This window comes from Homo sapiens, chromosome 17 (assembly GCF_000001405.40).
Source record: "Homo sapiens chromosome 17, GRCh38.p14 Primary Assembly".
Lineage (NCBI taxonomy): Eukaryota > Metazoa > Chordata > Mammalia > Primates > Hominidae > Homo > Homo sapiens.
In genome coordinates this window covers 4,730,754-4,749,528 of record NC_000017.11, presented here as the reverse complement: position 1 = coordinate 4,749,528, position 18,775 = coordinate 4,730,754, and the positions used below count along the sequence as shown (strand labels likewise).

Sequence of the window (18,775 nt, the reverse complement as noted above, 5' to 3'; positions counted from 1 at the left end):
CCGCAAGCTCTGCCTCCTGGGTTCACGCCATTCTCTCGCCTCAGCCTCCCAAGTAGCTGGGACTACAGGTACCCGCCACCAAGCCCGGCTAATTTTTTGTTTTTGTATTTTTAGTAGAGACGGGGTTTCACCGTGTTAGCCAGGATGGTCTCGATCTCCTGAACTCGTGATCCGCCTGCCTCGGGCGCCCAAAGTGCTGGGATTACAGGCGTGATGGGATTACAGGCATGAGCCCGGCTGTGAAATCTGATTATTAGATTACGAGCCATGCAAAAACAAAAGGTGGGCTACATTTGGCTGGAAGCCGTAGTTTACTGATCCCTGCCCTAAACTGTAAGCTTTATGGAGGCAGAGACCATTATGTGTCTTTTTTCCCCATTGCGTCGCTAAGGTTCGGCACAAAGCCTTGTGTATTCAATCAATAGTTGGTAAGTGAATTATTAAAGAGCAATTTGTATATTAAGCATTTTTATTACAAAAGCACTTGTGTTCATGGAAGAAAAATGAGCAGTCCAGCTAAATAAAATGAATAAACAAATCCTTAGTAACCCCACCACTGGGAGATAACCACATCCTTTCCTATTGTTATGTAATAGATGTCAGGAGTTAGGAAAAGCTTATTTTTTGGCCAACGGAGTGGTGAAAAGGTCTATTTCTCCTCAGTCCACGAGAGACCCAGGCTTCCCCTTTCTGGCTGTAGGAGGTGAAGCTGAGAGAAAAGATGAGGAGGGAGGGTTGAAAGTATGGGGGGAAAGCAATCTGATAAGCAGTTAACGAGCTCCTACTGTATGCTGCCATATGCCCGGCCAGGCTAGACCCTGGGGGATAGAGGTAGCACCCACCCCTTCTGGGTTGACCGTTGAAAGGGTAGACAAGAAATTGTGTGATAAAGGTCATCAAAGGGCATATGCAAGGTGCTATGAGGGCTTAATAGGGAGAGGGGTGTCTAACCTCATCTGGGGGTCAGGAAATGCTTCCTTTCCTAAGGAAGTGACATTTAGGCTGCCACCTAGGCTAAGAATTAGTTGAGCAAGAACATGGGAAGTTCTGGCCAGGTGCAGTGGCTCACACCTGTAATCCCAGCAGTTTGGGAGGCCGAGGTGGGTGGATCACCTGAGGTCAAGAGTTGGAGACCAGCCCGGCCAACATGGTGAAACCCCGTCTCTACCAAAAATACAAAAATTAGCTGCACGTGGTGGCAGGCGCTTGTAGTCCTAGCTACTTGGGAGGCTGAGGCAGGAGAACCACTTGAACCCGGGAGGCGGAGGTTGCAGTGAGCCAAGATTGTACCACTGTACTCCATCCTGGGCAATAAGAGCGAAACTCCATCTCAAAAACAAAACAAAACAAAAAACACATGGGAAGTTCCACAGTGAGAGAGCGCGTCTTTATTTAGAAGCATCTGGCTGCAGAGTTGACAGGGGAAGGAAATGGCATGAGATCAGCCTGCAGAGGTTGGCAGGGACCACATCAGCAGAACCTTGTCATCTCGATCTAACTACTGGTTGACAGGAACTGAAGAAGATAAATGAACACATGAAAAAACACCCTGAGGAAGTAATCAGCCAGCTCCTGAGTGAGGAACATTTTACGGGACAAATGATTCTGTGTCTTGTCAAATCAGTGTCATGAAATAAAAAATAAAAGCCAAGGAGGTATGTTACAAAATGAAAGAGACTTAAGAGTAACATCAACAGGGCTGGGTGCGGTGGCTCACGCCTATAATCCCAGCACTTTGGGAGGCCGAGGCAGGCGGATCACGAGGTCAAGAGATTGAGACCATCCTGGCCGACATGGTGAAACCCTGTCTCTACTAAAAATACAAAAATTAGCTGGGCGTGGTGGCGTGCGCCTGTAGTCTCAGCTACTTGGGAGGCTGAGGCAGGAGAATTGCGTGAACCCAGGAGGCGGAGGTTGCAGTGAGCCGAGATTGCACCACTGCACTCCAGCCTGGGCGACTGAGCAAGACTCCTTCTCAAAAAAAAAAAAGAGTAACATCAACAGGACTTAATTGTTCACCTTAATCCCTTGGTTAAGGTGGTATCTGCCAGGTTTCTCCTCTGTTTTTCCCTATCTATACTCAGTGACTGAAGTCATTAAGGGCAGCCCACACTGTTAAGAGCTAAGGGAAGTCACTGAAGGGACTGAAGCGAGGGAGAAATGAGGTCAGATGTCTTTTTTTTTTTTTTTTGAGACAGAGTCTCACTCTGTCACCCAGGCTGGAGTGCAGTGGCGCGATCTTGGCTGCCACCTCCACCTCTCAGGTTCAAATGATTCTCCTGCCTCAACCACCTGAGTAGCTGGGATTACAGGCCCATGCCACCACACCCGGTTAATTTCTTTTCTTTTCTTTTTTTTTTTTTTTTGAGATGGAGTTTCACTCTTGTCCCCCAGGCTGGAGTGCAATGACGCGATCTCGGCTCACTGCAACCTCCGCCTCCCAGGTTCAAACGATTCTCCTGCCTCAGCCTCCCAAGTAGCTGGGATTACAGGCATGTGCCACCATGCCCGGCTAATTTTGTATTTTTAGTAGAGACGGGGTTTTCTCCATGTTGGCCAGGCTGGTCTCGAACTCCTGACTTCAGGTGATCCACCTGCCTCGGCCTCCCAAAGTGCTGGGATTATAGGCGTGAGCCACCGTGCCCGGCCCTCAGATGTCTTTTTTTGAGGAGGAATACTCTGGGCTGCAATGTGGCGATGAGATACGGTGGAGTTTGCAGCAGGAATGGACATACCTTGATGGACTTGAGTGATTTCAGAAGAGCTCAGCAGGAGTTGATTATTGAATACGAGGTGGTGAGAAAAGGTGGAGTTGGGTGGCTGGGGCCTTTCACTGAATCCAAACCAAGGATCTGTGTGGTCCCAGGAGGTTGATTGCTTCTCCCGCCCCCAGGAAGAAGCCACTTTCCTTGCCTTGGGGCCGGTCCCTGAGGGTTACCGGGGCTGGAAAGTGACTAGCCAACACATAATTAGGAGAACCATGGGATTACCAAGGAGGGTCACAATCCCTGACTGTGAGTTAAAGAAATGACAGCCGTTGAGGGGACTAAAAGGGTCTGGGGGAAAGTAAGTCATCCCTAACTCCTTTTCCGATGCGGGCGGATCACCTGAGGTCAGGAGTTCGAGACCAGCCTGGCCAATATGGCGAAACCCTGTCTCTACTAAAAATACAAAAATTAGCCGGGTGTGGTGGCGCATGCATGTAATCCCAGCTCCGGAGGGTGAGGCAGGAGAATCGCTTTAACCCGGGAGGCAGAGGTTGCAGTGAGCCGAGATCGTGTCCCCTGCACTCCAGCCTCGGTGACAAGAGGGAAACTCCGTCTCAAAAAACAAACAAACAAAAAAATCTTTCTCTTCGTTCCCAGTTTAATGGCCCAATTATGAGCGTGTAATCAAAAGATCCATGACTCAGTGGTTTCAAACAAGTAATTTTATTTACCTTTTCATGTTTTACCAACCTGTCCTCCCCCTAGGCCTTGAGTGTTTTCACGTTTTCCTTTCAGTGTTTGGGAGCTGGGGACTACTAGGGTATCAGCATTCATTTCCGCCGGCGGGCCCCCCGCCCAGGTTTCTTTTCTCCTCGGCGCCTTCGGGTGGGGGCAGGAGGAGCAGAGGGAGTTGGGGATGGGGGTGGGGGCCCGGGCGCCGGGCGGGCCCCGCTCCCTTGAGCAGGCTTGTAAACCAGGTGGAAGATGAAGGCATTGCAGTACCTGCGGGGGCGCGGGGCGCAGTCAGGGACCACGGGGCGGGACTCCCAGGGGTCGGCGCTCCCAGGGGTCGGGGCTCCCAGGGGCGCGGTCAGGGACCAGGGGGCGGGGCTCCACCGGGCGGTCAGGGACCAGGGGGCGGGGCTTGCCCCTCTGAGTTCCAGGGCGTGGGGCTAGACTCAGGGTTGGGTCTGTTGGAGGGTCGCGGGGTCTTTTGTGGGTTGGGGAGATTCCGTGAGCTAGATCTAAAGAGGGGTGTGCTGGGGGATGTCGAGACCTCCCATGGGGGCGACGAGTAGTGGGGACAGAGAAGGCAGGTTGCTGGGCTGGGGGCAGGAGGGCCCCAGGACAGCAGGGACTAGGGTAGAGGTGGGCCTTCGAGGATGTGGAGCCAGAGAGTAAGAGAAGTTAAGGGTCAGGAAGGAAATAGGGTCGCAGACCCTTACCAGGACATGCAGTTGTCGGCCGCTCTGAGGCGAAAGGGGGAGCGGAAGGGGTTGGGCTGGGGAGGGCTGGTGCCCCCTCCAGTGGCCACCGCCATGGTCTGGCCGTCCATCACACAGCTGTACTCGCTGCTCTCGGTGAAGAAGGCTGGCACTCGGAGGGACTGGGGTGGAGCGAGAGTCGCTCTGAGAGGCCCCTCCCCAAATCCATCCCAGCAGCCAGAATGACAGACCGGGCTGAAAGCCGAGGTCCCCGGACAGACCGGGCGGAGGGGAGCAGGGGGAGGACGGAGACAGACACAGAGAGAGGCAGGGGGACCCGTGGGCACTCCCCAGGTTTGTGGAGCAGGTGATGGTGAAGAGGAGGAGAGCCCAGAGACTTTCAGAAAAGGAGATGGGGAGGGGCCAGGCAGGAGGGGAGAGAAGTTCCCTTTTGCCCCCATTGCCCACCTGTAACCGGGGCAGAGACCTCAGCCACGTATCCTTGAGAGCAAACCCGGAGTTAAATCCTGCAGACAGAGAGGAGGGAGAAGCTGGCTCCCACGGTGGGCTTCTCTCCCACCTTCCCCACATGCCTAACCCTGAGACCCAGGCTTTTACCAATAACCAGGTCAGGCTTGGGCCCCTGGAACAGGTGGTAGGGCCTTGCTGACACCTTGATCTGCAGGTCCCTGCGGCCCCCTTTCTCCTTAGTGCCAGAGCTGGGCCGTGCTGATATGCCGGAACCAGGCCGGACAGACACCTCCAGGCTGTCCTGAGGGGCCCCAGGAGTGGGGTGGAAAAGCCACTGGAAGTCAGGGAACTGGAGGATGCACCAGGCAAGATGGGGAGTGGGGGGCAGAAGGGCAGGACCCAACCAGGAGGTCACTGGAGGGGTCAGGGCTGAAAAGCAGGGCCCCCTCAGCCCTCACCCTCTGCAGGGTAAAATGCTGCTCGTCGCTTTCGGGGGGCAGGCCATCACCTACAAACTGCAGCTCCAGGGCCACATGGGGGAGCAGGACCAAAAGCTCCTGAAGGACAGAAAGAAAGAAAGATCTGGGGTCTACCCTGTGCCCACCCCCATACCAAAATGCCCAACCTTCAGGCCTGGGGTGACTTACCCAAAACACCATGACAAGGTCAAACTCCTTCCCGGCCTCCACCACGTGGATCTTCAGTGACTGTTTGTTTTGGATGTTGAGCTCAGGGACTGGGTGAAAAACCAGCGCTTTAAGGATGTGGTCCACTCTCACTCCCCCATCCTGCTCCACCCCCCACTCCGCTCTCCTTACAGGACTGGGGCACCAGGTGGGTGATGACGTAGTACACGGTCAGCGGGTAGGTGAGAAGCACGGCTATGGGGGAGTCCAAGCTGAGGCCCCGCCATGTGTAGTAATCCTGCCATGAGCCTGGCAGGAGAGGGTTGCTAGAGGACCTGGCCCTGGACCCCCACCCCCTCTAGTCTAACAAACCTCTTCTTCACAGCCACCCAGGCTCTGGTTCTCCAGTCCCTGGCCCTACCCCTAGCTTCCACAGGGCCCCTCCAGCTCACCAAAAACACCCCGGGGTGGATGTGGGGGCACAGGAGGCATCAGGGCAGTCCCGTCTCCCTGGAGAAGCTGGTAGGGGTCTCCTGAGAGGATGAAAGAAGGAGGGGCCTGGGGTCAGGGAGACCCCCACCTGACCCATCTCTTTCTTCCTTCCAAAGGGGCTGTATTCCCTGAGACAGCCGCAGTAAGAGGAATGGGGGTTTGCATAGGGATGGGGTTTCTGGGTGGAGTTGGTAGGGGTGATTCCATTGAGGGCTGGGAAAGGCCTGAAATGGCCCTGGTGCTGTTGGTAGGGGTCAGTGTGTATGTGGAGGGATCATCTGGGACCCAGACAACTTCTTCCCAGTCCTTCCCTCTAGGCCAAGGGGCCCATGCCTGGAGAGACCCCACGCACCACCGCGAAGAAGGCTGAGGGATGGCGTGTTGCCTCGGGGGTGTCTGGAGAAGCCCGGGCCTGGAATCAGCATGCTGAGCTGGGTCCAATAGCCACGAGTGAGGCCCCGAGAGGCCAGGAAGGCCTCTTTGTTGAAGGTTTCACTGGTCACCTCTGGAGAAGGAGAAGGGGAGGAGTTGAGGTGCTGGGCTAGAACCCCAGACATTTTTTTTTTTTTGAGACAGAGTCTTGCTCTATCACCCAAGCTAGAGTGCAGTGGCGTGATCACGGGACACTACAGCCTCGACCTCTTGGACTCAAACGATTCTCCCACCTCAGTCTCCCGAGAATTGTGACCACAAGCGAGTGCACCATGCCTGACTAATTTTTTCTATTTTTTGTAGAGACAGAGTCTATGTTGCCCAGGCTGATCTCAAATTCCTGGGCTCAAGTTGGCCTCCCAAAGTGCTGGGATTACGGGTGTGAACCATTGCCCGGCCTAGAACCCCAGCCTTGAACTCTCCCTAGCCTCCCGCGAGGACCCTGGTTCTAAGTCTGGTTCCAGTCAGGCCGGGAACTACCATTTCTGAGTGCCTCCAGCGTACCAGGCACCAAGCCAAGATAATCCTTGTAACAATTCCATGGGCCTTCTCCGTATCCCTCATGAGGACACGGAAGCTTCAAGAAGTAAAGTGGTTTGTTTAAGGTCACACTGCAGTTAGTGGTGGAGCTGGGAAGCAAGTAAGTGTTTGAATCCCTGTCCCCCAATCCCTGCACGCTCTCAGGGACCCAGACACTCAGGCCTCGGCTTCAGAGACCCTGTCTCCAGCCCCAAACACCCAGCCCCTGCCCTTGTTCCAGGGATCTAGGCTCTAGCCCCAGACACTCAGCCTTCAACTGCAGGACCCTGTTCCCAGACATCTAATTCCCAGTCTCAAAGACCTGGTCCCAGTTTCCCCCAACCATTCTGACCTCCTTATGGTACCTGCGGTGTAGGTAAAAGGCAGGGTTGCCAGTTCTCCTGCCCGCTCCATGAAGGCTGCAAGCCTTGGGCACCAAAATCGGTGACTCACATCATCTGGGCACCGCTGCCAGTCAGCCCGGAGACAAGCCTCTCCACAATACAAGACAGCACTACACTGGGGGCTGGGGACACAGCGGGTGGTGGGCACCTAGTGTTAACCTCTGTAGGTCCTGTCTGCTGTTCAACTGCCCAGCAGCTGCCCATATGTCACTCGGTCTGTTTGTCTTACACCCTCTAACCGCCTGTAACAGTCTGTATTGTTTCCTCTGCATCTTCTCATGTCCCTGCCTCTCCTTCTGTCTGCTAGGCGCCCCCCACCACCCTGCCTTCCTTCTATTTGCCTATTGGGGTCTTCCTCTCCCCCAGCTTTGGGGCTGCTCACCAAGGTGTCAGCTTCGCTTCAAAGCTGTGCCTGTGACACACATGGCAGGTTCGAGCACGAAGGGAAGCAAAGGTGAAGCCTGGCCGGGGACCCCATGTCCGCATTGGGGTTTTGGCTAACTTCACACCTAGCCTTGGGACCAAGCTCTCCAGCTCTCTAAATGCAGTTGGGGGGGAGATGGCATCAGGCTGGAGGAGGTGCTTGGGAATCCAGGGCCCGAGTCCTCCCCAGCCTCAGATACCAGATTTCTATACCGATGCAGCCGGGCATCTCCCACAGTAAGCTGTCGGGGCTTTCGGGGATCCCCAGAGCCCATGGGACAGGCCATGCTGTGACAGAGGAGAGCATAGGCCCAAGGAGCCAGGTCCTTGGTCCCTGAGCCCCAGCTTGCGGTTCCCTGGGCTCCATCCACTAGCAGATCAATGCCCAAGATGGTGCCATGCTCATCCGTCACAAGTAAGAGACAGGAAACGTGCAGGGGGGCAGCCTCTGGGGAAAGAGGGAAAAGTTGAGGTGGTAGGGGGCAGCGAGAGACAAATGTGGTCAGGGTCAGGAGTACCAAACTCAAATACCTACGGGGCTAGGCAAGTAACCTCACTGAGTAAAGGGCTCTGGGTAGAGAGGGCACGCTCCTTCTAAAGGGGACAGCTGCTACAGAGGACCAGAATGCGCTGCCATGCAGAAATGTAGGCCCACTGTCAGAGCTTGAGATTTTTCTTGGGAATGTGTAAATCCAGACTTCTGGATACTTTTTTTCTTGCAATGTTTAAACATTAAATTAAAAAAAAAAACCCCACTGTGGGTCAATAAAAACACCTTTTCAGGCCAGATTGGCCTGAAGGCCAGCACTCAGAACTAGTGGCAGGGGAGGGCTTCCGAAGGGAGGATGGCTGGGCAAGGGGTAGGGCAGGGCCAGCCCTGGGTTCTTACCACTCCTCTGTCCCTTCCTCTTCTGGGGTCTTGTTTCGTTCTCCACCCTGTCCTCTCGGCAGCCATCCTTGCCACCTCCTGCCTCCCGGGCAGCCTCCTCTGACTCTCCTGGAGGGTTTGTTTCCTGGGGGGACTCCCTGCTGGTAGGGGCTAGCTCCCGGTCCTCCTCTGGTTCCACCTTCTCTGTGCTGCCTGCACCCCCGTCCTCTCTCTTCTCTTCTTCTTCATCTTCCTCCTCTTCCTCCTCCCCTTCCTCCCCATCCTCTAGGCTGACAAAGCTGATGTAGGGGCTCAGGTCTCGCAGGTGGAGTGGAGGGTTGTCTCCCAGGAGCCAGGCAGTCCCCAGGCCTGGTCCAGGACCTGGTTCTGCCCCTTGCCCCAGGCTGATGCCCACACTATGGTTGGGCAGGACATGGAGCACCCAAAGGGCAGGGTCCTGGGGTAGCCTTCTGATCTGGGCCTCCAGCTGCCGGCAGCGGCCCTCAAGGCTAGTCCCTACAGCTCCACGCTCTGCCACAAACTTTCGGAACCAGCCGAAGAGAAGGGCAGTGAAATCAAGGAACTCATCCCGGTATCCAGACACAAACTCCATGTCTTCAGCGGCACAGGGCCCCGGCCCAGACTGAGCAAAAGAAGGGATATATGGTGAGGGACAGGAGAGCAATGATGGAGTTTGGGGCTGGGTCACAAATTGAGGGAGAGGGTAGGTTTGAGAGTCACTTAGGGTTGGATCCGTGGATATGCTAGGAGCGGAGAAGAGGATTTTTCAGGGCTGAGGATGGGAGTTTAGGGAGGAAAATGGGGGCTGGACTTGAAAGTGGGTGACCAGGGTTGGAGAAGACTACTCAGGGATGAGATGGTATTTGGGGCTTAAAATTGGAGAGTTCACACCCTCAAAAGCAGAGTTTAAATTAAGGCTAGAGAGGAGAGAGGGCTAATCCTATCGGGAACGGTTTGGTGGGGAGGGAAGCATTTTGGATGCGTCTGTGGGGTATGGGAGTGGGAGCGAGGGGGTTCCCTGGGCTCGGATCTGCGTGGCGGGCAGCCCCGGTAGACCTAGCCCCTCCCGGCCGCCCCACTCCTCCGGTACCTGCAGCCGCCACCACTTTTCGAAGGTAAATACCTCGCGGTGGAGGGTGCGCGGGTGCGGTTGTGACGTCAGGGCTGCCCGAGCCCTCGCCGGCTCAGCGGGCGGCCACGCCCCCCGGGCTCGGTGCGTCCGCGGGTGGCTGCCCCGCAGGTGCGCGCGGCCGGGGCTGGCGGCGACTCTCTCCACCGGGCCGCCCGGGAGGCTCATGCAGCGCGGCTGGGTCCCGCGGCGCCCGGATCGGGGAAGTGAAAGTGCCTCGGAGGAGGAGGGCCGGTCCGGCAGTGCAGCCGCCTCACAGGTCGGCGGACGGGCCAGGCGGGCGGCCTCCTGAACCGAACCGAATCGGCTCCTCGGGCCGTCGTCCTCCCGCCCCTCCTCGCCCGCCGCCGGAGTTTTCTTTCGGTTTCTTCCAAGATTCCTGGCCTTCCCTCGACGGAGCCGGGCCCAGTGCGGGGGCGCAGGGCGCGGGAGCTCCACCTCCTCGGCTTTCCCTGCGTCCAGAGGCTGGCATGGCGCGGGCCGAGTACTGAGCGCACGGTCGGGGCACAGCAGGGCCGGGGGGTGCAGCTGGCTCGCGCCTCCTCTCCGGCCGCCGTCTCCTCCGGTCCCCGGCGAAAGCCATTGAGACACCAGCTGGACGTCACGCGCCGGAGCATGTCTGGGAGTCAGAGCGAGGTGGCTCCATCCCCGCAGAGTCCGCGGAGCCCCGAGATGGGACGGGACTTGCGGCCCGGGTCCCGCGTGCTCCTGCTCCTGCTTCTGCTCCTGCTGGTGTACCTGACTCAGCCAGGTTAGCCGGGGGCGGGGCAGGGGACCCAGATTCCCCTGTCACGGGAAGGGGGTGAGTTGGGGAGGGGACACGAGGCCCACGGAGTTGAGTGGATGAAGGCAGCGGGGACAAGAGGAAAGCCAGCCAGCCGCCTGGGGTTGGGGACAGAGGCCCGGGGACGCCTGGCTCCGGGCGGGATTATGGATGTTGTCGGGGGCGTGATGATGTGTGGGTTGAGCCTGGCGCTCTGACCCTGGGTCCACCGAGAGGCTGTCATGGGGCTGTGGATTGGATGCCAGGGAACAGCGGAGTGGGGACCCTGGGCCTGGGAATGGGTGCCGACCACCTCCGTCCCGCGCAGGCAATGGCAACGAGGGCAGCGTCACTGGAAGTTGTTATTGTGGTAAAAGAATTTCTTCCGACTCCCCGCCATCGGTTCAGTTCATGAATCGTCTCCGGAAACACCTGAGAGCTTACCATCGGTGTCTATACTACACGAGGTAATTTTACCTGCCTCTGCGAGGGCAGCGCCTGGGCGGCCCCTCCTTGCAGGTGCCTCCAGGACCCTCTCTGGTCCAGCCTGAACTCCTTCCCGGCTCACCGAGCCCCATCTCCGGGTTCCGTTTGCTCTCATTCCCCGAAACTTCATGACTCCGTCTCACCTACTGGGGAGTTTCCCAGTCCCAGGAGAAAGGGCTCTTTCTTGGTGGCAACTTCACGCCTCTGGAATGAGGAAGGAGCCGGGGAAGGAAAGAAGGCGCCGCAGCTAAGCCCAGGTCTCTCCTCCGCAGGTTCCAGCTCCTTTCCTGGAGCGTGTGTGGGGGCAACAAGGACCCATGGGTTCAGGAATTGATGAGCTGTCTTGATCTCAAAGGTGAGACTTTTCCACTGCTCTTCAGGCTCTGCCTCCAGGGCTTAGCAGCTTCCACCTGACAGTTTTCTTTACCTGAGCCTTTTCCCCTGGGGCCGCACATTCCTAGAACCTTCTTCTGATCCTGTCCAAAGTACTTAGACTCGAGTCCCTGTTTGCCAAACGGGGTGATCATTCACCATCACCTTCATGAGTTTTGCCAATTCATTCTACCACGTGTGCTATTGTCTACTTATTAATATTTTTCTTGAAATCAAAGTACTATTTTATTTTATTTTTTTGAGATGGAGTCTCACTCTGTCACCCAGGCTGGAGTGCAGTGGCACGATCTTGGCTCACTGCAACCTCTGCCTCCCAGGTTCAAGAGATTCTCCTGCCTCAGCCTCCTGAGTAGCTGGGATTACAGGCGCGCACCACCAAGCCTGGCTAATTTTTGTATTTTTAGTAGAGACAGGGTTTCACCATGTTGGCCAGGCTGGTCTCGAACTCCTGGCCTTGTGATCCACCCGCCTCGGCCTCCAAAAGTGCTAGGATTACAGGCGTGAGCCACCACACCTGGCCTATTTTTCTTTTCCAATATTTTATTATGAAAATTTACACATATACAAAAGTTGAAAGAATGGCACACTGAATATCCAGTGCCTCCACCTAGATTCTACAATTTTATTTATATATGTATATTTTACATATTTACATAAACATATATTTTACACTATCAATTTTACAGCAATTACACGATATTTGCTTTATTAAGTATCCATCTATTCATTCTTCTATCCATCATCCATCACCTTATTTCTTGATGCATTTCTTTTTTTTTTTTTTTTTTTTTTTTAATGGAGTCTTGCTCTGTCGCCCAGGCTGGAGTGCAATGGTGCCCTCAGCTCACTGCAGCCTCCGCCTCCCAGGTTCAAGCAATTCTCCTGCCACAGCCTTCCGAGTAGCTGGGATTGCAGGTGCCCGCCACCATGCCCAGCTAATTTTTGTATTTTTTTAGTAGAGATGGGGTTTCACCGTGTTGGTCAGGCTGGTCTCAAACTCCTGACCTCAGGTGATCCACCTGCCTCAGCCTCCCAAAGTGCTGGGATTACAGGTGTGAACCGCAGTGCCCGGCCTCTTGATGCATTTCAAGGCAGATTGTGGACATCATTGCACTTCATCCCAAGACATTTCAGCATGTATATTAAGTAGAGTTCAATATTTTAATGCTTTTTTTTCTTTTGAGTTCAAATTTACATACAATGAAATGAATTACTTTTAAGTGTGCACAAACTAGTTTTGAAAACTTAAGTAGAGGCCAGGACGGTGGCTCACTCCTGTAATCCTAGCTCTTTGGGAGGTTGAGGCCGGTGGATCACCTGAGGTCAGGAGTTTGAGACCAGCCTGACCAACATGGTAAAACCCCATCTCTACTAAAAATACAAAATTAGCCAGGCATGGTGGCATGTGCCTGTAATTCCAGCTACTCAGGAGGTTGAGGCAGGAGAATCACTTGAACCTGGAGGCGGAGGTTGCAGTGAGCCGAGATCAGGCCATTGCACTCCAGCCTGGGCAACAAAAAAAAAGAAAGAAAACTTAAATAGTAAATTATCCTAAGCAATAATATCTGTGAAGTCACAAGTTTGATGCATTGGTTATATTTTTCTCTTAAAATAAATATACAACCATTAAAATACAAAAGGTTCTTCCATGTCCTAGCTAAAGTTTTGTAGGATCTGTGTCATCCATACTGCCTTTAAGTCTGCCTAGACCTCTATGATTTCCTTTCATCCTCCCAGGAACCCTGGCCCTTGGTACTACAATTATCCTCATTTTACAGCTGGAAGATATCACTTCCGGAGAGGTTAGGGACAAGGGGTGAGGTTACACAGCTACTTGAGGTTACACAGCTACTTTACAGCAGAGCTTGGAATCCAACCCTGGTCTTCTGATTTCCCAGTTCATGACACCCACTTGTCTCGTGGTTCGCTCACTTCCTTGTCCCCTACCTTTTCCGTCTGTCATCTGCCTTCCTCTTCTGGCCTTCAGCGTGATAACCTCCCTGACTCACTCTTCCCTCTGTTGGAGCTCAGAACATGACACTCCAAAACATGGCACCTTGGTAATTACGAAAACAGCAGAAGTAAGTAGCTCACTCTGCTCTGTTTTTCTGTGAGAGCTGGCCATAAAGGAATTCTCTAACTTCACGTGGAAGTAGGTCATAGGCTCTCATTTCAGATGGGTCCTGCCCTATACTTGGAGGCCAAGAAGAATCTGGACAGGCCTTGCTGGTCCCCCACCCCCCATTTATTGCCATTAGATCATACCCTTTTTGTCCAATCATACTTCTTTTTTTTTTTTGAGATGGAGTTTCGCTCTTGTTGCCCAGGCTGGAATGCAGTTGTGCAATCTTGGCTCACTGCAACCTCCACCTCCTGGGTTCAGGCGATTCTGCCTCAGCCTCCCATGTAGCTGGGATTACAGGCACATGACACCATGCCTGGCTAATTTTGTATTTTTAGTAGAGACTGGGTTTCTCCATGTTGGTCAGACTGGTCTCGAACTCCCGACCTCAGGTGATCCACCCACCTCAGCCTCCCAAAGTGCTGGGATTACAGGCGTGAACCACCGCGCCCGGCCAATCCAATCATACGTCTATACAGCTGTCCATTCTTCACAGCAAGCCTAAGCATAAAAATGCACTTTTCTCGGGTCTTTGTTTCTGAAGGTTCCTATGTCATGTAAAACTGTGATTAAATAAATGTTAGGCTTTTCTCTTGTTAATGTTTTTTATTTATAGGGGTATCAGCCTTGACCCTTGCGATGGGTGAGGAAAAGATATTACTTTTTCTCCCCTACACCTCTATCTGCTTTTTCACCTTGTCTCCTGATAGTCCTGATTCCTCATTTCTTTCCTTTCCAGAATGTGGACATGCTTACTCGGGGATTGTGGCCCACCAGAAGCATTTACTTCCTACCAGCCCCCCAATTTCTCAGGCCTCAGAGGGGGCATCTTCAGATATCCACACCCCTGCCCAGATGCTCCTGTCCACCTTGCAGTCCACTCAGCGCCCCACCCTCCCAGTAGGATCACTGTCCTCGGACAAAGAGCTCACTCGTCCCAATGAAACCACCATTCACACTGCGGGCCACAGTCTGGCAGCTGGGCCTGAGGCTGGGGAGAACCAGAAGCAGCCGGAAAAAAATGCTGGTCCCACAGCCAGGACATCAGCCACAGTGCCAGTCCTGTGCCTCCTGGCCATCATCTTCATCCTCACCGCAGCCCTTTCCTATGTGCTGTGCAAGAGGAGGAGGGGGCAGTCACCGCAGTCCTCTCCAGGTAAACTGGACCTTTGAACCCTCCCCCCAGGGACCCAGAGCCTTCCTGACAGGCATCCTGACCCAGTGGCTCTCAGGTGGCTGGAAACCTGGCCTTGGCACACAAGTATCAAGGTTGTCTGCACAAGGTTGACTCTGGGCCCTCTGAGGACAGTCAGTCGGGGACTGTAGACAGTGGAGAGGGAAGGAAGCCACCACAGGCACAAGGACTAGTGCTTGGAGCAACATCATGGAGAAGATGGCTAGAGCAAGCTAGTGGGAGATGAAGCTGTGGAGGGAGGTGAGGGCCAGTCATTCAATTCACAAATTTTCACTGAGCACCTACTGTGGGCCAGGTCATAGTGTTGATGTCTTCATCTGATTCCCTAGTTCAAGCTATCATCCCCCAAACACTGTCCTTGATCTCAGAGCTCATCTCTCAATTTCTTTATCCTTTCCAGATCTGCCGGTTCATTATATACCTGTGGCACCTGACTCTAATACCTGAGCCAAGAATGGAAGCTTGTGAGGGTAAACTGTGGCTTATTCTTACAAAAAGTGTAATAAAGGAGACTGACCCCTGACAACATGGTAGGCACTGTATACATACTTGTTTTTGTTTTTTGTTTTTTAGAGACGGACTCTATGTTGCCCAGGCTGTTATGGAACTCCTGAGTCAAGTGATCCTCCCACCTTGGCCTCTGAAGGTGCGAGGATTATAGGCGTCACCTACCACATCCAGCCTACACGTATTTGTTAATATCTAACATAGGACTAACCAGCCACTGCCCTCTCTTAGGCCCCTCATTTAAAAACGGTTATACTATAAAATCTGCTTTTCACACTGGGTGATAATAACTTGGACAAATTCTATGTGTATTTTGTTTTGTTTTGCTTTGCTTTGTTTTGAGACGGAGTCTCGCTCTGTCATCCAGGCTGGAGTGCAGTGGCATGATCTCGGCTCACTGCAACCCCCATCTCCCAGGTTCAAGCGATTCTCCTGCCTCCTCCTGAGTAGCTGGGACTACAGGTGCTCACCACCACACCCGGCTAATTTTTTGTATTTTTAGTAGAGACGGGGTTTCACCATGTTGACCAGGCTGGTCTCGAACTCCTGACCTGGTGATCTGCCCACCCAGGCCTCCCAAAGTGCTGGGATTAAAGGTGTGAGCCACCATGCCTGGCCCTATGTGTGTTTTTTAACTACTAAAAATTATTTTTGTAATGATTGAGTCTTCTTTATGGAAACAACTGGCCTCAGCCCTTGCGCCCTTACTGTGATTCCTGGCTTCATTTTTTGCTGATGGTTCCCCCTCGTCCCAAATCTCTCTCCCAGTACACCAGTTGTTCCTCCCCCACCTCAGCCCTCTCCTGCATCCTCCTGTACCCGCAGCGAAGGCCTGGGCTTTCCCACCCTCCCTCCTTAGCAGGTGCCGTGCTGGGACACCATACGGGTTGGTTTCACCTCCTCAGTCCCTTGCCTACCCCAGTGAGAGTCTGATCTTGTTTTTATTGTTATTGCTTTTATTATTATTGCTTTTATTATCATTAAAACTCTAGTTCTTGTTTTGTCTCTCCGAATGAAGAAGTATGTATTTTCATTAGGCCAAGTCTGCGGGAAGGCTGGGGCAGCAGCATGAAGTGTTTGAGGAAGTGGGTTGGGTATGTCAGTTTCCATCTCCTCTCTGAGCCTGTCAGGGTGTTTCTGGAGTGCAGAGCAGGAGCACCCTGCTGGAGAGGCCAAAGCATAGCTGTGGGCAGGCTCGGGCTTCAGTTTTTCCATGCCCACCATTTGCCCCTTTGTCCTAGGGTACTTTGACCAGCAGGGTATGTTGGTGCTCATACTCCCCACCCTACATGTTCCCAGGTTCTGTCCCATGGCACAGGTGATGGTCTCCCTCTCAGCTCTGGGTCCATCTCCCTGGCCTAGTTCTCCAGCATCTGCTCACAGGTTCGAGCCACATCACTGAGCTTGAGGCGGGCATAGTCCACTCGCTTCAGAGCCATCTGACAGTCCTTCCTCGAAGAGTAGCTGGAGCCCTCATGGGGCTGCCCTGTGGCCACCTACAAGACAGACTATCAATGGAGCACCATCTCCTTTACCCTAACTCCAACCAGGCATCAGGTCTCGTCTCATTTCTTCCCTGAGTTTGAATTTGTTAGGCCATCTGGTAGCTGGGTAAATAAATCATTTAACTTATGTTAATCTTGTCTGTAAAATGGGGGTGACAATAACTACTTCCTAGAGTTGTTGAGGATTAGATAAAGTAATGCAGAGTATCTGGCACACCGTAAAAATTAGTAATGGTAGTGGTCCCTGCGACGATTTCAGAACCTTCTCAATCCTGTCCCTCTTCTCAGGATATAAGGATTTGGGACCTCGTGGCCTGGAGGTCAGGCCAAGTTTCCAGTGACAAAGTTCTGTAGTTCTAGCATTATTTACACATCTTCTGCTAGGCACATGTGATGTTACCCAGTGAGGTATGCAGGGCCACCTTTAATTCTTTCATTTTATTATTTATTATTTTTTGAGACAGAGTTTTTGCTCTGTTACCCAGGCTGGAGTGCAATGGCATGATCTCGGCTAAGTACAACAACCTCCGCCTCCTGGGTTCAAGCGATTCTCCTGCCTCAGCCTTCCAAGTAGCTGGGGTTACCGGTACTCACCACCAAGCCCGGCTTTTTTTTTTTTTGAGACAGTCTTGCTTTGTCACCCAGGCTGGAGTGCAGTGCTGCAATCTTGGCTCACTGCAACCTCCACCTCCTGGGTTCAAGCGATTCTCCTGCCTCACCCTTCCAAGTAGCTGGGATTACAGGTGCCCGCTACCAGCCCAGCTAATTTTTGTATTTTTAGTAGAGACGGAGTTTCACCATGTTGGCCAGGCTGGTCTCGAACTCCTGACCTCAGATGATCCACCCGCCTCAGCCTCCCAAAGTGCTGGGATTACAGGAGTGAGCCACCGAGCCTGGCCTAATTTTTATATTTTTAGTAGAGACGAGGTTTCACCGTGTTGGCCAGGCTGGTCTCGAACTCTGTCAAGCCACTGCGCCCGGCCCATTCTTTCCTTTTAGAGGAAGAAACCCGCTCTGGATGGCCGGCTGGGGAGGTCTGGTCCTGCCCAGTTAATGCTCCACCCTGGATCACCCAAGCCTGAGGCTTTGACCCAGAGCTGGGGTTCGCTCGCAGAACCCCCCAGACACACCGACCTGGGTGAGGTAGCGGATCTGAGCTGACAGCTCCGCCTCCACGTGTTGCACTGAAGCGGTGAAGGCCGCCGCCTGCCGGTCTAGGAGCCGCTCGTTAGTTTTTTCCTTGGACAATTCTAGGATCACAGTACCTGCCAGGGCGGAGAGAGGGCGGGGACACACGGAGACTGCCAGTGTAGCCTCTCCCTAGGCCAGCCCCTCTCAGTCCCGCCCTTTCGCTGCGCACGCACGTAGGATTCCCTCCCCAACCCTGCTCCAAGTCCCAGGTCAGGCTGCCAGTGCAGCCCGGTCACGCTTTCGCTCCCCGCTGTCCAGGTTGTCGCATCCCGAACCTGCATTCTGAAGGATGGCGCCGATTTCCCGTTCAATGTCTTCCAGAGCGCGTAGTCTCTCGTTCGCCAGGCTGTAGGTAGCCATTATCACTCTGGGAATTCTCACCAAGAGTTTCTCCTCAGAAACGCGACGCTTGTTCCGGAAGTGGCTCTCGGTGTGCGCCTGCGCAGAGGGCACCGTGTAGCGAGCACTACGATTCCCAGGATGCTCAGCGCAGCCTCGCCTCCTCGGTCCGCTTGATGAACTACAACTCCCAGGGCCCGCTGCGCCTCAGCCACAGGACCACCCGTAGTCAGAGGCGACAGTGGAATATCCCCTAGCCCGAGGCCATTCAGACCTGTCCATCTTCTTGACACTGTCTGTGGCCTCTAGTTTATTCTACACAAGTTTATTTATTTATGAGACAGTCTTACTCTGTCGTCCAGGTTGGAGTGCAGTCGCAAGATCTCCCTCCCTGCAACCTCCACCTCCCAGGTTCAAGCGATTCTCCTGCTTCAGCTTCCCGGGTGCCTGGGATTATAGGCGCCCGCCACCACGCCCGGCTGATTTTTGTATTTTTAGTAGAGACGGGGTTTCACCATGTTGGCCAGGTTGGTCTCGAACTCGACCTCAAGCGATCCACCCTCTTCGGCCTCCCAAAGTGCTGGGATTACAGGCGTGAGCTGAATCTTAAAGGTGAACTACGTGGATGAAAGCTTGTAGTGGAAAAGGGAGACGGCATAGGCAACAGCATGGTGCTGTGACGGGAACAGCGCATGTGGAGTCCAGCAAGGGATTCTGCCTGCCTGGAGTGAACGGAGCGTGGTGGGGGTTAGGTATG

The 18,775-nt window shown here is 53.9% G+C and overlaps 3 protein-coding genes across 10 annotated transcripts, besides 7 other annotated features; 1 reads left to right on the top strand and 2 right to left on the bottom strand.

Annotated features, from left to right (window-relative positions):
• ZMYND15 (zinc finger MYND-type containing 15) lies at positions 3,410 to 9,696 on the bottom strand. 6 transcript variants are annotated; one of them, XM_047436923.1, is made up of 14 exons: positions 9,512 to 9,696; positions 8,389 to 9,010; positions 7,713 to 7,947; positions 7,459 to 7,614; positions 7,038 to 7,198; positions 6,074 to 6,226; positions 5,682 to 5,762; positions 5,422 to 5,538; positions 5,251 to 5,339; positions 5,062 to 5,160; positions 4,751 to 4,904; positions 4,601 to 4,659; positions 4,154 to 4,314; positions 3,410 to 3,710 (listed from the first exon to the last, which is right to left on the bottom strand). In XM_047436923.1, the coding sequence occupies exons 1-14, from the start codon at positions 9,683 to 9,685 to the stop codon at positions 3,539 to 3,541; spliced, it is 2,433 nt and encodes an 810-aa protein (XP_047292879.1). In that variant the 5' UTR covers positions 9,686 to 9,696; the 3' UTR covers positions 3,410 to 3,538. The 6 variants fall into 6 exon arrangements, with proteins under 6 accessions (XP_047292879.1, NP_001254751.1, XP_047292880.1 ...); NM_001267822.1 differs by having other exon boundaries at positions 4,601 to 4,683; positions 9,479 to 9,514; NM_001136046.3 differs by having other exon boundaries at positions 3,416 to 3,710; positions 9,479 to 9,696.
• Positions 9,278 to 10,182: an enhancer, noted in NCBI's record as "H3K27ac-H3K4me1 hESC enhancer chr17:4642642-4643546 (GRCh37/hg19 assembly coordinates)". NCBI's record gives its function as "activates a minimal SCP1, AML or CMV promoter by ChIP-STARR-seq in naive H9 embryonic stem cells {active_cell/tissue: H9 hESC(naive)}" and the evidence as "EXISTENCE:reporter gene assay evidence [ECO:0000049][PMID:30033119]".
• Positions 9,510 to 9,729: a silencer, noted in NCBI's record as "silent region_8043". NCBI's record gives its function as "represses an Ori minimal core promoter by ATAC-STARR-seq in GM12878 lymphoblastoid cells {active_cell/tissue: GM12878}" and the evidence as "EXISTENCE:reporter gene assay evidence [ECO:0000049][PMID:35858748]".
• Positions 9,601 to 15,996, top strand: CXCL16 (C-X-C motif chemokine ligand 16). Of its 2 annotated transcripts, NM_001386809.1 has the most exons (6): positions 9,601 to 10,268; positions 10,609 to 10,747; positions 11,039 to 11,121; positions 14,021 to 14,437; positions 14,877 to 14,946; positions 15,050 to 15,996. In NM_001386809.1, exons 1-5 carry the CDS (start codon positions 10,190 to 10,192, stop codon positions 14,921 to 14,923), a joined length of 765 nt encoding a protein of 254 aa, NP_001373738.1. In that variant the 5' UTR covers positions 9,601 to 10,189; the 3' UTR covers positions 14,924 to 14,946; positions 15,050 to 15,996. The 2 variants fall into 2 exon arrangements, with proteins under 2 accessions (NP_001373738.1, NP_001094282.2); NM_001100812.2 differs by lacking the exon at positions 15,050 to 15,996 and having other exon boundaries at positions 14,877 to 15,020.
• Positions 10,183 to 11,088: an enhancer, noted in NCBI's record as "H3K27ac-H3K4me1 hESC enhancer chr17:4641736-4642641 (GRCh37/hg19 assembly coordinates)". NCBI's record gives its function as "activates a minimal SCP1, AML or CMV promoter by ChIP-STARR-seq in naive H9 embryonic stem cells {active_cell/tissue: H9 hESC(naive)}" and the evidence as "EXISTENCE:reporter gene assay evidence [ECO:0000049][PMID:30033119]".
• On the bottom strand, positions 15,922 to 18,101 carry MED11 (mediator complex subunit 11). Of its 2 annotated transcripts, none has more exons than NM_001305000.2 (3): positions 17,955 to 18,101; positions 17,623 to 17,753; positions 15,922 to 16,590 (listed from the first exon to the last, which is right to left on the bottom strand). In NM_001305000.2, exons 1-3 carry the CDS (start codon positions 18,037 to 18,039, stop codon positions 16,549 to 16,551), a joined length of 258 nt encoding a protein of 85 aa, NP_001291929.1. In that variant the 5' UTR covers positions 18,040 to 18,101; the 3' UTR covers positions 15,922 to 16,548. The 2 variants fall into 2 exon arrangements, with proteins under 2 accessions (NP_001291929.1, NP_001001683.1); NM_001001683.4 differs by having other exon boundaries at positions 15,922 to 16,479.
• Positions 17,446 to 18,265: an enhancer, noted in NCBI's record as "H3K27ac-H3K4me1 hESC enhancer chr17:4634559-4635378 (GRCh37/hg19 assembly coordinates)". NCBI's record gives its function as "activates a minimal SCP1, AML or CMV promoter by ChIP-STARR-seq in naive H9 embryonic stem cells {active_cell/tissue: H9 hESC(naive)}" and the evidence as "EXISTENCE:reporter gene assay evidence [ECO:0000049][PMID:30033119]".
• Positions 17,446 to 18,304: a biological region, named in NCBI's record as "H3K27ac-H3K4me1 hESC enhancer GRCh37_chr17:4634559-4635378".
• Positions 18,105 to 18,154: an enhancer, noted in NCBI's record as "active region_11547". NCBI's record gives its function as "activates an Ori minimal core promoter by ATAC-STARR-seq in GM12878 lymphoblastoid cells {active_cell/tissue: GM12878}" and the evidence as "EXISTENCE:reporter gene assay evidence [ECO:0000049][PMID:35858748]".
• Positions 18,165 to 18,304: an enhancer, noted in NCBI's record as "active region_11546". NCBI's record gives its function as "activates an Ori minimal core promoter by ATAC-STARR-seq in GM12878 lymphoblastoid cells {active_cell/tissue: GM12878}" and the evidence as "EXISTENCE:reporter gene assay evidence [ECO:0000049][PMID:35858748]".

Excerpts from the sequence above, each read along its gene's own strand:
- ZMYND15 (XM_047436923.1), bottom strand. The coding sequence starts at position 9,685 with ATGAGCCTCCCGGGCGGCCCGGTGGAGAGAGTCGCCGCCAGCCCCGGC. Across the intron at positions 4,905-5,061 it reads AGCATTTTACCCTGCAGAGG|GACAGCCTGGAGGTGTCTGT; the intron begins GTGAGGGCTGAG and ends GGGGCCCCTCAG. Across the intron at positions 4,660-4,750 it reads CAAGCCTGACCTGGTTATTG|GATTTAACTCCGGGTTTGCT; the intron begins GTAAAAGCCTGG and ends CTCTGTCTGCAG.
- MED11 (NM_001001683.4), bottom strand. The coding sequence starts at position 18,039 with ATGGCTACCTACAGCCTGGCGAACGAGAGACTACGCGCTCTGGAAGAC. Across the intron at positions 17,754-17,954 it reads CGCCATCCTTCAGAATGCAG|GTACTGTGATCCTAGAATTG; the intron begins GTTCGGGATGCG and ends CCGCCCTGGCAG. Across the intron at positions 16,480-17,622 it reads AGATCCGCTACCTCACCCAG|GTGGCCACAGGGCAGCCCCA; the intron begins GTCGGTGTGTCT and ends TCTGTCTTGTAG.
- CXCL16 (NM_001386809.1), top strand. The coding sequence starts at position 10,190 with ATGGGACGGGACTTGCGGCCCGGGTCCCGCGTGCTCCTGCTCCTGCTT. Across the intron at positions 10,748-11,038 it reads CGGTGTCTATACTACACGAG|GTTCCAGCTCCTTTCCTGGA; the intron begins GTAATTTTACCT and ends TCTCCTCCGCAG. Across the intron at positions 11,122-14,020 it reads GAGCTGTCTTGATCTCAAAG|AATGTGGACATGCTTACTCG; the intron begins GTGAGACTTTTC and ends TTTCCTTTCCAG.